Below are 14,770 nucleotides of genomic sequence, written 5' to 3'. Positions count from 1 at the left end.
TTTGGGTGAAAATAAAGAAGTACATTACATATCCATCAGAATTAACTGACAGGGATTCCACCTTGGAAAGGGTCTATTAAGCTTGATGATTTTGTTTTTAATGGTATCCTCTTTTATTATATAATAGAAAATAGCATTTTTAAAAGTTTTCATAATCTTCAATATGCTTACACACACACACACAGAGAGAGAGAGAGAGAGAGAGAGAGAAAGAGAGACAGAATCTGCTTTAAAATGTGATTATTCCACAAATAAGGAGTCAGGATATCTGCATAATTAATTGAAATCCACAGATAATTTTAAAAACTCTTCTCTTATTCAATGAGTTCAACTTTCTCTCTTCAAATTTTCATCAGAATTGCTCACAAGTAGCACACGAATTCGTCTGAAGTCTGAAAGTTTTAATTACTTTCTGTCCTTTGTGCAAACACTGAAATGCCAGAAATAATGATCATCAAAGGATTAGGGGAAAATGGTAAGTTTAGGTTTACATAATATTAACATAACATATTTAAGCCTCAAATTAAAAGTGAGATGTGTGTTTTATGGGCTATGAACCAAGTCAAATCATGGTTATGTGATTATATACATATACACACAAATACATATACACGTATATCCGTAACATTTTTTATTTATCAATTCATTTCATCCATGCAATTCAGGAATGGCATTCCACACATTCTCCACCTAGAAAATTCAGTGTTTCCTTTAAGATAGCTCAAATAACATAATTCTCTTCAGTAGTCTCTCAATATTTCAGGATACATAACTTTTTTAAAAAAAATTAAAGCATATGTATTGGAATATGTGTAATCTACCTATGAACGTATTTTATACACCCTTACAATGTTAGGTCTTTGAAGCTGAAAGTATGCACACACACACACACACACACACATATACACACACATACACATTATATGTATTTCTAAATTTTTTCAAATTTCTTCTCATTCTAAAAATTCTATATGTCAAAGAACTAATAAGTAAACTGCTGAAAATAATCAACTTCCTAATATTTTATAAGCATATGCACCAATTCTATCATCTCCAATGATAAGTACCTAAAGCAAATGATGCCACAATATTTGAGAAAAAAAAAACAGAGAGACAGACACACACGGGAGGAGAAACTATTTTGCCTGGCAAAAGCATACATTTGAGTACTTTTTAAAATACTCAATATTTGCCAAGTAAATTGGGCCAAAATTTATGCTTAAAGAGTCATAAACAAAGCAAGTGAGCCTTGTTAAACCACACTCTCCATATGGGAAGGAAACACGAACTGTGTGAATTGCATAATGCAATCCATACTTATTTTATTACATAAGGACCTAAGTGTTATTTGCCTAAGATTAGTGATACATCATGATTATTACTCTCTTCCTAGGAAATCACTATATGAAACAGTTCAATGTCACAACAGGAGCATTGCTGCTTTTGATGGGGATAATACTAGGTAAAGTAATTACTTCCAGTGACCTTCCTGCTTTTGTGTTTCATAGTGTATGTTCAACATAATATATTGTCTACAACTAAAGTTCTCTTCATTACTTCCATTTATAAACAAAAGTTTTCCCAGTTATGTGCACCAGTCATTTGAATTCTAAAAATTCAAAACTGTGAGCTATTTACATTCTTAGCCACAAAATAACTGCTTATTATTTTATTTATTGGTGTTATTGGTGTTCCTATATATTTTTGCTAATGCTAAACTGTAAGAAGAAAGTAATATAGTATCATAGCTTTAATTTCAAGAAATGCAGGCAGCAATTTCAGGTAGTTAGTCTTTCTTACAGACTAGTGTCTCTTGATACATTGAAAAGACTAGAGAAGCTGTTACAATGATAATGGAAGAACCTTATACATTTTCATTGACATCAAGTTGCCATTGACATCACGAAATTGACAAGGTAATGGTTTTCACACATACTTCCATTGACACCATAGCATCAGAAGTGTCAGACACAATGGAAGTGTCTCTTACAAGATCTATTGATATTAAAAAAGGAAGCAAAGTAAATTCAGAGGGCTATGATAGTATAATATTATGTCTCTAGCATTCCTAATTGTCCATAAATTCATCTGATTTATAATGAACTCCTATTACAGATATCACCTTTCACATACACGCACATGCACATCTGGCAAAGGGGAAAGGTGAGAAAACTGAAGGTGATGAGTGTTAGGGCTATTGTGATTGATGTAAAAATAAACTTCATCTGGAGCTAACATTTATAAAGTACAATGTACAATAGCTCAAACTGAGAACAGGCTGTGGTAATGAGAAAATAAGAAACTCACACCAATTTGGTATTTTAGGTTAATCGCTTTATTATTAATACAGAGAGTTTGTACATTAGTTCTGTATAATTAGAAATTATGCCATGTGTGGTAATTGTAGCAGGATTCTGTAGTTTGTTATAACTTTGTGCTGAACCAATATAAAAAATAAAGAATTACAATCTTTAAAAAGAGACACATGGTTGGCATCAGAGCATAACTTGAAAGAGAAGCTGATATATGACAGATTTTCATTATTTTTGCAAGGTAAGTTAATTCCATCATATCTGCATGACAGAGTATTAATAAGATACTAGGTGATATTAAGTACTTCCAGCGGCTAGAGATTTAACTTGTTTTCTTCCCACTTATGAACACTTTATTTCTGAATTACCTGTTCACTTTATATCTTTCGATTAAGACTATAGAAATGTAGCTGGTACTGAATCTTTTCTCTTACTTTTGTTACAATTATGCTTATCTAACAAAAATTTTAATCTCTATAAACTTTAGTGCATTATATATTTCAAACACCTCTGAAGCCCTGGAGACAGGGAAATGACCAAGACAGACATAGCCTCTGTCCTGCAGACACTAGGTTCCTACAGGGAAGGCAGAAGCAGAACAGGTAATTTCCTAATTGGTATTTAATTACAAGATCGTTAAAAGTTCTCTTAGAGAAATCAGGGTGCTAAGAGATCATATAAAAAGGCAGACCTGAACTAGCCTTGGAGACAGGCAAGGCCTCTCAGTGGAAATGGCATTTGTCTGAAACCTGAAAACGGAGTAGGTTAGCTGGCACAAGGAGAGAAAGTGAGGAAAATATCCAGATTAAAAGGAACAATTCATTCGAAAGCCTCAAGGCACAGAGTATGAATATGGAAGAAAATCAGGCTGCCACGCCGTGTTCCTTTAAAAATGTGTTTATTTTTATTCTACATACTTGAGTGAAACACACCCAAGTGAAGAAAGAGCATCATCTACTTTCCTGCAAATTGGCCACTGTTGCCAGCTCAGCGTATCTGCATAACTTATTTGGGGATGCTTCCTTCCATCATGCTGTCATCTAGACAATCTTCACATGGTTTTCCCCTCCTACCCCCAATTTACTTCAGAACACTTCTGCTTACAAGGCCAGTGATGGGGTCAACTTTTAAAAAGTGAACTTAATTTCTTGCTTATTATCTGATTTATACCTTGAACTTACTTGTTCTGGCAATTCCCATTAGAAAGGTAGCAAGTTATTCTCTCAAAAGTTGTATTGCCAGGCTGGGACTATGCTATTGAACAAGATACACACAGCCTTGCCCTCTCCAAGCTTATTGTTGGTCAATGAAATCAAATAAAGTATAGCAAGTAATAAGAGACTGTAAAATTGTAAGATAGTTCTAAAATATAAATTAACAATTTGGAGAATACAAAGATGAGAGAAATTTATTAATTCCACAAATCTACTCTCTGCCAGACATTGTACTAAAACTTAAACCTATGAAGAAACATAACATATAAGGTACGAGCTTCTCAATTTCAAAACTCTGCTGACTGCAATTCTACTAATGTTTATTGAGCACCTACTATGTAAAGCATTGTGATTCCACTATTCTCTCACTCAGCTTCACCACTCCAGCTTCCTTGTTGCTCCTTGAACATGCCAGGCACATTCCCATTTCCAGGATCTGCACTTGTTTTTCTCTCTCTCCAAATATTCTTCTCCTAAGTTATCTCTACAGCACTCCCTCACTTCCCTCACTTCTTTCTCCAACGTCAACCTCTCGATGAAACATTCTTTGACCACCCTGTCTAAAATTGCATCCCAGCGCCCGTATTCTCCATCTCTCCTTCATACTTCAGATATATCCGTAGAAAATGTTTCTTTACCCTCTAATATGCTATATCGTATGCTCCTAGCATTCAGGGACATATCCTATAATGTTAATGATGTCATCATCATAGGATGTGTCCCTGAATGCTAGGAGCATACGATATAGCATATACAGATTACAGAAAGCTAGTAATTAATTTGGCAGCTTGATTATTTGCTGGGGTTGATCATCTTCTCCTACATTATTAAGTAAGATATTTGAGGCCGTGCACGGTGGCTCAAGCCTGTAGTCCCAGCACTTTGGGAGGCTGAGGTGGGTGGGTCACATGAGGCCAGGAGTTTAAGACCAAGTCTAGCCAACATGATGAAACCACATCTCGACTAAAAATACAAGAATTAGTCAGGTGTTGTGGTGCATGCCTGTCGTTCCAGCTACTCGGAGGCCAAGGCAGCAGAATTGCTTGAACCCGGGAGGCGGGTTGCAGTGAGCCGCCATCACATTACTGCACTACAGCCTGGGTGACAGCGAGACCCTGTCGCAAAAAAAAAAAAAAAAAAAAGATACTTGGATAAATTAGGCTGAACTTAAGTAAATAATTAACATTGAAAAATTAATGAATCCAGGAGCTGGTTTTTTGAAAGGATCAACAAAACTGATAGACTGCTAGCAAGACTAATAAAGAAGAAAAGAGAGAAGAATCAAATAGACGCAATAAAAAATGATAAAGGGGATATCACCACCGATCCCACAGAAATACAAACTACCATCAGAGAATACTACAAACACCTCTACGCAAATAAACTAGAAAATCTAGAAGAAATGGATACATTCCTCGACACATACACCCTCCCAAGACTAAACCAGGAAGAAGTTGAACCTCTGAATAGACCAATAACAGGAGCTGAAATTGTGGCAATAATCAATAGCTTACCAACCAAAAAAAGTCCAGGACCAGATGGATTCACAGCCAAATTCTACCAGAGGTACAAGGAGGAACTGGTACCATTCCTTCTGAAACTATTCCAATCAATAGAAAAAGAGGGAATCCTCACTAACTCATTTTATGAGGCCAGCATCATCCTGATACCAAAGCCAGGCAGAGACACAATCGAAAAAGAGAATTTTAGACCAATATCCTTGATGAACACCAATGCAAAAATCCTCAATAAAATACTGGCAAACCGAATCCAGCAGCACATCAAAAAGCTTATCCACTATGATCAAGTGGGCTTCATCCCTGGGATGCAAGGCTGGTTCAATATACACAAATCAATAAATGTAAGCCAGCATATAAACAGAACCAAAGACAAAAATCACATGATTATCTCAATAGATGCAGAAAAGGCCTTTGACAAAATTCAACAACCCTTCATGCTAAAAACTCTCAATAAATTAGGTATTGATGGGATATATCTCAAAATAATAAGAGCTATCTATGACAAACCCACAGCCAATATCATACTGAATGGGCAAAAACTGGAAGCATTCCCTTTGAAAACTGGCACAAGACAGGGATGCCCTCTCTCACCACTCCTATTCAACATAGTGTTGGAAGTCCCAGCCAGGGTAATTAGGCAGGAGAAGGAAATAAAGGGTATTCAATTAGGAAAAGAGGAAGCCAAATTGTCCCTGTTTGCAGACGACATGATTGTATATCTAGAAAACCCCATTATCTCAGCCCAAAATCTCCTTAAGCTGATAAGCAACTTCAGCAAAGCCTCAGGACACAAAATCAATGTACAAAAATCACAAGCATTCTTATACACCAATAACAGACAAACAGAGAGCCAAATCCTGAGTGAACTCCCATTCACAATTGCTTCAAAGAGAATAAAATACCTAGGAATCCAACTTACAAGGGACGTGAAGGACCTCTTCAAGGAGAACTACAAACCACTGCTCAAGGAAATAAAAGAGGATACAAAGAAATGGAAGAACATTCCATGCTCATGGTTAGGAAGAATCAATATCGTGAAAATGGCCATACTGCCCAAGGTAATTTATAGATTCAATGCCATCCCCATCAAGCTACCAATGACTTTCTTCACAGAATTGGAAAAAACTACTTTAAAGTTCATATGGAACCAAAAAAGAGCCCGCATCACCAAGTCAATCCTAAGCCAAAAGAACAAAGCTGGAGGCATCACGCTACCTGACTTCAAACTATACTACAAGGCTACAGTAACCAAAACAGCATGGTACTGGTACCAAAACAGAGATATAGATCAATGGAACAGAACAGAGCCCTAAGAAATAATGCCGCATACCTACAACTATCTGATCTTTGACAAACCTGACAAAAACAAGAAATGGGGAAAGGATTCCCTATTTAATAAATGGTGCTGGGAAAACTGGCTAGCCATATGGAGAAAGCTGAAACTGGATCCCTTCCTTCTACCTTATACAAAAATTCATTCAAGATGGATTAAAGACTTAAACGTTAGACCTAAAACCATAAAAACCCTAGAAGAAAATCTAGGCATTACCATTCAGGACATAAGCATGGGCAAGGACTTCATGTCTAAAACACCAAAAGCAATGGCAACAAAAGACAAAATTGACAAATGGGATCTAATTAAACTAAAGAGCTTCTGCACAGCAAAAGAAACTACCATCAGAGTGAACAGGCAACCCACAAAATGGGAGAAAATTTTTGCAACCTACTCATCTGACAAAGGGCTAATATCCAGAATCTACAATGAACTCAAACAAATTTACAAGAAAAAACAAACAACCCCATCAAAAAGTGGGTAAAGGATATGAACAGACACTTCTCAAAAGAAGACATTTATGCAGCCAAAAAACACATGAAAAAATGCTCACCATCACTGGCCATCAGAGAAATGCAAATCAAAACCACAATGAGATACCACCTCACACCAGTTAGAATGGCAATCATTAAAAAGTCAGGAAACAACAGGTGCTGGAGAGGATGTGGAGAAATAGGAACACTTTTACACTGTTGGTGGGACTGTAAACTAGTTCAACCACTGTGGAAGTCAGTGTGGTGATTCCTCAGGGATCTAGAACTAGAAATACCATTTGACCCAGGATTCCATTACTGGGTATATACCAAAAAGACTATAAATCATGCTGCTATAAAGACACACGCACACGTATGTTTATTGCGGCACTATTCACAATAGCAAAGACTTGGAACCAACCCAAATGTCCAACAATGATAGACTGGATTAAGAAAATGTGGCACGTATACACCATGGAATACTATGCAGCCATAAAAATGATGAGTTCATGTCCTTTGTAGGGACATGGATGAAATTGGAAATCATCATTCTCAGTAAACTATCGCAAGGACAAAAAAACAAACACCGCATGTTCTCACTCATAGGTGGGAATTGAACAATGAGAACACATGGACACACGAAGGGGAACATCACACTCTGGGGACTGTTGTGGGGTGGGGAGAGGGGGGAGGGATAGCATTAGGAGATATACCTAACGCTAAATGACGAGTTAATGGGTGCAGCACACCAGCATGGCACATGTATACATATGTAACTAACCTGCATATTGTGCACATGTACCCTAAAACTTAAAGTGTAATAATAATAGTAAAAAAAAAAACATAATTTGTGAAATAAGAAGAATGAAAAATTTTAAGTAAATAACATTGGAGAAAAATCATAATTTGTGAAATATGAAGAATGACAAATTTCCATTTTAAAAATATAAGTTTTTAGTTTTTTTCTTACTGCAAAACCAATCCATGTTCATTGCAAGAAAAAAATGCAAAGACAAAAAGAACACAAACACAAACCATATTCCAAAAACCCAACTATAATCATTGTTAACATTTTAAGTATTTCTACATCAAAAACGGAATCATAGTAATCATATATTTCGTAACCTACTCAATCAGTGTTCTACATGCATCAAACACCCAGGCATCTCCTGGGTGGGCTTTGACCTACTTCAAACATGCATACCTGAAATGCCTTGGGGATGCCCACAGATGCATCTACTCAGTGCCTGTCCACACATGAATAACCTGGAAGTGTGGAAGAATTAACACCCCAGAGGGAAAAAAATGACCAATAGATATAGAAGCCAATGGACACATTCTTCCCCCTTTCTGCTCCCAACCCTTACTCTACAGAGTCTAGAGAGATGCTTTACATGGCTACTTGAGGAGGGCTCAGCCTCACTTAACCAGCAATCAGTTTAACTCAGCAGTGACCAATATCACTATCAATATCAATAATGCCTTCTCCTCCTGTTGGCTCTCCCTTTCTTCCCTGCCTTACTCCCCTGCTCTGTCACTTCTCTTTCCTGGGATGGCACTTGCTAATAAAGCAATAGTACATAAGCCATCTGCCATTAGATTTGCTTCCTGGGAAACCCAGGTTTAGCCACCTAATTTTTATCTTAAAAATATATGTTAAATGTACTTTTCTGTCACTATCAATTCTTCCATACATAATATAAATTCAATACGATCATAGACCTTGTTTTTCTTCCTTAATTCTTTATGCTCAGTATCTAGATTAGTATCAACACATTTTCAATGCCTACAAGAGTGTATCATTGCTGCGAAGGTATGAGTCCACCTACTTACATTTTTACTAGTGTATACCTCAATATATTCATTCAGACCACACTTGGACATTCAAGTTGTTCCTAATTTTACCTATGTTAATGTGCCATGGTTAGGCAGCAAACTCCGGGCTCAAACACATGATTATTTCTATATTCTTAAAAGCGATTTATCTGAATCAAAGGTTATGCACAATTTTAGGAATATTTTACAAGCATTTGCTATCCTATTTGAATAAAAATTATGATATTCTATTCATTTTTACCTGTCAGCATTTCTTCTAGTGAACCAAGGTATTCTCATAGCATTGGCAGAGGAAAAGGCATAATCCATGTCCATCTTTTTCATCAGCTTAAAATCCATGTGCTTTTATGGGTGGCAATGAAGCGATGAGTAGCCTCAAGCCAGCAAATTTGGAGTGGGGAGAAGAATTAAACCTCAAAAATCCTTGCTGCTGAAACAATATTTTTTTCTTTTCTTCTTTTTCTTTAATAATGGTATCCCTCTTCCCACTATCCTTCCCAATTGTAATTTACTTTTCATGTCACAGAACTTAGCACCAAACAAATTACACACCTTATCCAAAGCTATTGGCTCAAAATGCTCAGACGGCTGTTTTCACTATAAACCACAGGCAAAGTGATTCCAGGGTGTTGTTTTTCTGATAGTAAAAGAAATCCTGGAAACTCTTTACAATTATTCCTGCATGGATCAATGCGGCGTAGAGCGGTAGTCCAGAGATCAGTAGGAGACGTATTTGAAGCTGAATCAATGCTGACAAAGAAATACTTGCCATTCCTCAAATACTTGAAGTACCTCATTTCCTATGAACTGGATTATCTCTTCATAAATTGTGGGCAACAGCTAAGATAAGTTTAGCCCCTGCCTTTGCTACCAAATATGGCAAGCGGATTTGTGAGTAATGGAGACAACCAAGAAATCAGTTTCAGAACCGCACCCCGCCCCCCTCAAAAAAAAAAAAAAAAGAAAAAGAAAAAGAAAGAAAACAATTTTTATGGTTTGGGAAACTAATCAGTCCCTTCTCTGCATGAAAGAAAAAGCCACACTTAGAAACCTGTTTGCTGCAATGAGTTTGAATGCCTCATACCTGGCTTGGTATTAAAACTTAATGTTGGAATTTGGAAGACTGCTTTCATCTAGTATTGAGTTAATTATTGGACAAGTACATTAAAATGGGTTGATCTCAGAAAATCAGCTAACAGCCCTTATCATACTCCTCTATATCAAAGCAATGTCACTGAGCATCACTACAAACAGTTAGAAAATTAAGGCTTTTTTTCCTCTTAAAATATTTTCTGTCTCAAAAAGTTCTTTATAATGTGTGATAAACTTCTTTAAATAAGATTTTCTCAAATTTTCTTTAAAAGTTTCAATTAAACATATGTTTTTTAATGGGGGCAACCGAACCATATCACGGATGAAAAATAAAATCACCAGGTATCCAACAGAAGGGCCAGTGGGTAAATCAGGCTGCCTGGGCTGAGTGTAAAACAGATCTGTTCATTGCAGAACTCGGGGGATTGAAATAAAACCTCCAACACATGTCATCAATACATTTCTGCTTTAATAAACACCGCTTAAATTTCCCCTGGCATTTAAAAAAATGCATATTAAAAGGAAGAACATGCACAATTCAGGCTAAGGACAAATCTTGAGCCTTCTCAAGTAGAAATGTGTTCAATTTGATAATTTTGGTGCTGTGTCTATGGAGAGAATGAAACTTTGTTCCACCCCCATCTACAAATTTTTATGCACCTATTGATAAAATCTGTAGATGTCCTTGGCCCAATAAAAAGACAAAAAGAATACTGCCTGCCTGCACAAACCATGACGCTCTCACTGCAAACCATCTCAAAGACCTCTCTCTCTCTAATCAAAACAATTCACCAAGGCTGAGTGATGATCTGAAAGAAAAAAAAAAGGAGATAAAATAACAAAGAAAATAAACCAAACTAACACATTTTTAACCTACATATGTTGAAATATAATTTCTTACAAATAAACAAACAAAAACATGATGTTTTGACTAAATGTTTTTGATTAAATGCTTACTTTAAAAATACAAAAAAGAAAGACCCAGTTATAGAATAAACATTGCCAGGAGAACAAAAGCTATACAATTTACCACAAATTTGCTCTTTCTTTCATTTTAGCATAGACATGACCTTACCTTTTATATGTTAAATGATTAAAGATTATATTATTTTTGTTTTATTTTTAATTTTGTGGGCACATAGTAGATATATATATTTATAGGATACATAAGATGTTTTGATACAGGCATGCAATGTGTAATAATCAAATAATAGAGAATGGGGCATTCATTCCCTCAAGTATTTATCCTTTTTATTATAAACAGTCTGATTACCCTCATTTAGTTGTTTTAAAATGTACAATTATTATTGACCATAGTCACTCTGTTGTGCTATCAAATAGTAGGTCTTTTTCATTCTTTCGGTCCATTGTTTTGTGTGCCCATAAATCATCCTAATCTCCTCTGTATACCCCACCCCCACCCTCGAATGCACTACCTTTCCCAGCCTCTGATAATCATACTTCTACTCTCTATGTCCAAGAGTTTGTTTTGAGTTTTAGATCCCACAAATAAGTGAGAACATGTGATGTTTGTCTTTCTATGCCTGGCTTACTTCACTTTACATAATGATCTCCGTTCCATCCATGTTGCTGCAAATGATAGGATCTCATTCTTTTTATGTCTGAATAGTACTCTATTGTGTATGAGTACCACATTTTCTTTATCCATTCATCTGCTGATGGACGCAGGTTGCTTCCAAATCTTAGCTATTGTGAACAGTGATTCAACAAACAAGGGAGTGCAGATATCTCTTCAATACACTGATTTCCTTTCTGTTGGGGAGATACCTAGAAGTGGAATTGCTAGATTATATGACACCTCTGTTTTCAGATTTTTTGAGGAAACTTTTCGTTTTAAAGAAATTCTGATTAATCTTATGCCTGTAAACATCTAGAGTCAGCAACTGTCCAGTAAATGATGAGCTGATAGATTTCAAGCCTTTTATGTACCAAGTAGGATCTCCAAGTACTCTGTGTAAATAATTCAACTCATTTCTATGTCAACTACCTGCACTAATTTCAACATAAATTAAATTTTAAAACATAAAGGAAATTTTCCATGAAACTTGGACTTGATTCTTCAATGACAGAGTCCTACTAGATTAACTTTCAAAAAGGTGTGCTGCTTTAAAGACTCCTTTTCTTCATAAAACTAATCCATCTATATAGAGTTTTGGCAACATAAAGGAGATAATTGTCATATTCTCAAAAGCTACCTTGTTTCCAGAATCATAAATGATCTTCATTGTTAAAATCAATAATACACTCCTTATGCACATTTTCTTGAACACGTCAATTGTGTATGTTTAGATTTAACGAATATTTTATTCTAGCTCTTTTCACCTCTTTTGATTACTGGAGATTGTTCTGACACCATGGGGAAATGTATAAAGGGAAATATTAAATGCCACACTAGACCAGGCCTGTCAGTAGCACTTTGGAGCGAGCTTTTCAATGCTAAGCCACACGACAACTGAACAGTTCCTGCCAGACATAAAGTGGACTTGTATTCAGTTGACATTTCAGCACTTCTTTGGAACATAACCACTTTTTAGAATTACAAGGTTTTCTTAATTGAAAGTAGATTTTAAAATTATAGTAGTTGTTAAATACTAGGAGCTAAATTTTCACTTGCGTGTAAAAGCTGTTATTTGGAGCTGAATCGGGCATGCAGTTTAACAAGCAACAGGAAATGTTTAAAATCACCACGATCATTATCCAGTAAAATTAAAATACCCAAACCAGAGGGCTAAGCATTATATGGGAATTTGCAAGTGAAACCAGCATCATCATCAGGAACACATCTGGGTAGGTAAAACTATTAGATACACTGGAGTACCTAAGAAGGAGAAGAGCAGGCCAGGCCGTCTCCAGCCTAAGGGATGTCATATTCCCTAAGGCTGCAGACATGGACTGGGTGGTACAGTGTAAGAGACCTGTCTGCTCAGGTGAAAGTGACTGTGCGAATGACCTTGTTGTTTGTGCTCATGTACACATGTATATGCAAATCCTATTTCCCAGGACTCTTTCCTGGGCCTGTGGATAGGGTGGGAACAGACAAAGAGTTTTAAGATAGGGGTCCCGAACTGACAGCAGCAAACAAGTTAGCAGCCTACGAAGTAGTGGTAGGTGGAATAATGGCCCCCTAAAGACGTCCCCATCCTAGTCCTTAAAGCCTTTGGATATGCCACATTACATGGCAAAAGCCATTGTGGAGATAAATTAAATTCAGGATCTTCAGATGAGGAGATTATCTTGGATTATCTGGATGGGCTCAACAAAGAGGATAAAATGGTTCCTAAAGAGGGAGTCAAGAAGGTCAAAGTCAAAGGAGATGTGACAATGAAATCAGAGCTCAGAGAGGAGAGAAGATGCTATATTACTGGCTTTGAAAATGGAAGAAGAAAGAACAAGCCAAGGAAGGTATATGAATCTGGAAAAGACAAATGACTGATTTTTCCCTAGAGCCTCCAGAAGGAATCAGCCTTCTGATTCCTTCAAGGTGTGGACACCTTGGTTTTCCCACCAGTGAGATAGGTGACCTTCCAAAATGGAGATGTTTGTGGAAATGTGTTACAAGAACAATAGAAAATTAATATAGATGTTTTATCGAAATTTAATGAGAGGCAGCTTGCATTCCATCAGGAAACTTTTAACCCGTGCCCACCTGGTATGCATGGTGGTGACCAAGATGGTCTTAACCAGGGGTGTCCAATATTTTGGGCTCCCTGAGCCACACGGAAGAATTGTCTTGGACCACACATAAAATACACTAACGCTAACAACAGCTGATGAGTTAAAGAAAAAAAAGTCACAAAAAATCTCATAATGTTTTAAGAAAGTTTATGAATTTGTTTTGGGCTGCATTCAAAGCAGTCTTGGGATGCATGTGGCCCACAGGTTGCAGGTTGGACAAGCTTGGTCTTAACATTCCCCTCAGATTGACTAGACTTTTGACAGGTCTTTCCTTCTTCCTTCCTTTTTTCCTTCTTTTTTTCCTTCCTTCCTGCCCTTTTTTATCCTTCCTTCCCTTTTTTCTTCTCTCCTTCCTTTCTTCCTACCTTCTTTCATTCCTTCCTTCCTTTGTTCCGTCCTTTCTTCCCCTTCCTTCTTTCCTTCCTTCCTTTTCTTCCTTTCTTCCCTTCTTCTTTCCTTCCTTCCTTTCTTTTCTTTTTTTCTTTTCCTTTCTTTCTTTCTTTTTTTCTTTCTTTCTTTCCCTCCTTCCTTCCTTCCTTTTCTTTTCTTCCTTCTTTTTCTTTTCTTCCTTCCTTCCTTCCTTCTCTCTCTCCCTTCCTTACTGGTATTAAAGATCACAAGTTTCTTTCTGATTTAGGCACTTGACTTCCCTTTTCTCAGATCACTCACATAGAGAACTTGCAGTTGTAAATTCTTTCTCTACCTCTTTGACATGTAAATCTTCTCCCAGCCTCTTTCCAGTTTTACAACCCAAGAATGTCTTTCTCAATGACCTGAGGCTATCCCTTTGAAATGTAATCATCAAAGGAGAAAGCACTCCTATGTCCCAGTGGCTATGGGCAAGTGGCTGCATAACTTCCATAAACAACAATTAGCAAACACAAATGTCCTAATCATATTTAACAACCTCCTCCCTAATATCTTCCAGTACTTTTCAACTCACTCCAGTGCTTAAAGCTCTCACTTTCACCTTTTGTTTCAGTGGATTTGAGTTCAATCTCCACTTTCTACTGCAATAGTCTTGAAATTCCTTCATTCTGTGCTACATTATTTTTTAATTTAATTTACCCTATTTAGTACACAGTGGACCAAAAATCTGTATATATATATTTTTTGAATGAATAATTTTTTTCTACTATTTCTTTGATCATTTTCTCTTTTCCATTGTTTCTCTGTCATTAAAGATCATGTTATATAGAGGTTGAATCTGCTGTATCTTCCTTCTACCATCTTAAATATTTTCAGATATTATTTATATTTTTGGGAAGAGAGTTCCTTGACCTTATTTTCCAAA

At 36.5% G+C, this 14,770-nt stretch overlaps 2 long non-coding RNA genes across 2 annotated transcripts in view, besides 1 other annotated feature; both read right to left on the bottom strand.

The window, feature by feature from the left end:
• LINC01776 (long intergenic non-protein coding RNA 1776) overlaps positions 1-9,029 on the bottom strand; it is a 61,948-nt gene extending 52,919 nt beyond the window's left edge. Inside the window, exon 1 of the long non-coding RNA NR_046088.1 lies at positions 8,930-9,029. This is a non-coding gene — a long non-coding RNA (long intergenic non-protein coding RNA 1776). The remainder of the gene's footprint in view (positions 1-8,929) is intronic.
• The window catches only part of LOC124900404 (uncharacterized), a 228,127-nt gene that overhangs the window by 62,766 nt on the left and 150,591 nt on the right, over positions 1-14,770 (bottom strand). The window lies entirely within an intron of this gene.
• Positions 13,991-14,634: an enhancer, noted in NCBI's record as "OCT4-NANOG-H3K27ac-H3K4me1 hESC enhancer chr1:98670662-98671305 (GRCh37/hg19 assembly coordinates)". NCBI's record gives its function as "activates a minimal SCP1, AML or CMV promoter by ChIP-STARR-seq in naive H9 embryonic stem cells {active_cell/tissue: H9 hESC(naive)}" and the evidence as "EXISTENCE:reporter gene assay evidence [ECO:0000049][PMID:30033119]".

Source organism: Homo sapiens, chromosome 1 (assembly GCF_000001405.40).
Source record: "Homo sapiens chromosome 1, GRCh38.p14 Primary Assembly".
Classification (NCBI taxonomy): domain Eukaryota; kingdom Metazoa; phylum Chordata; class Mammalia; order Primates; family Hominidae; genus Homo; species Homo sapiens.
Note: the sequence above shows the minus strand (reverse complement) of the source record. Positions and strands in the feature narration are given on the sequence as shown.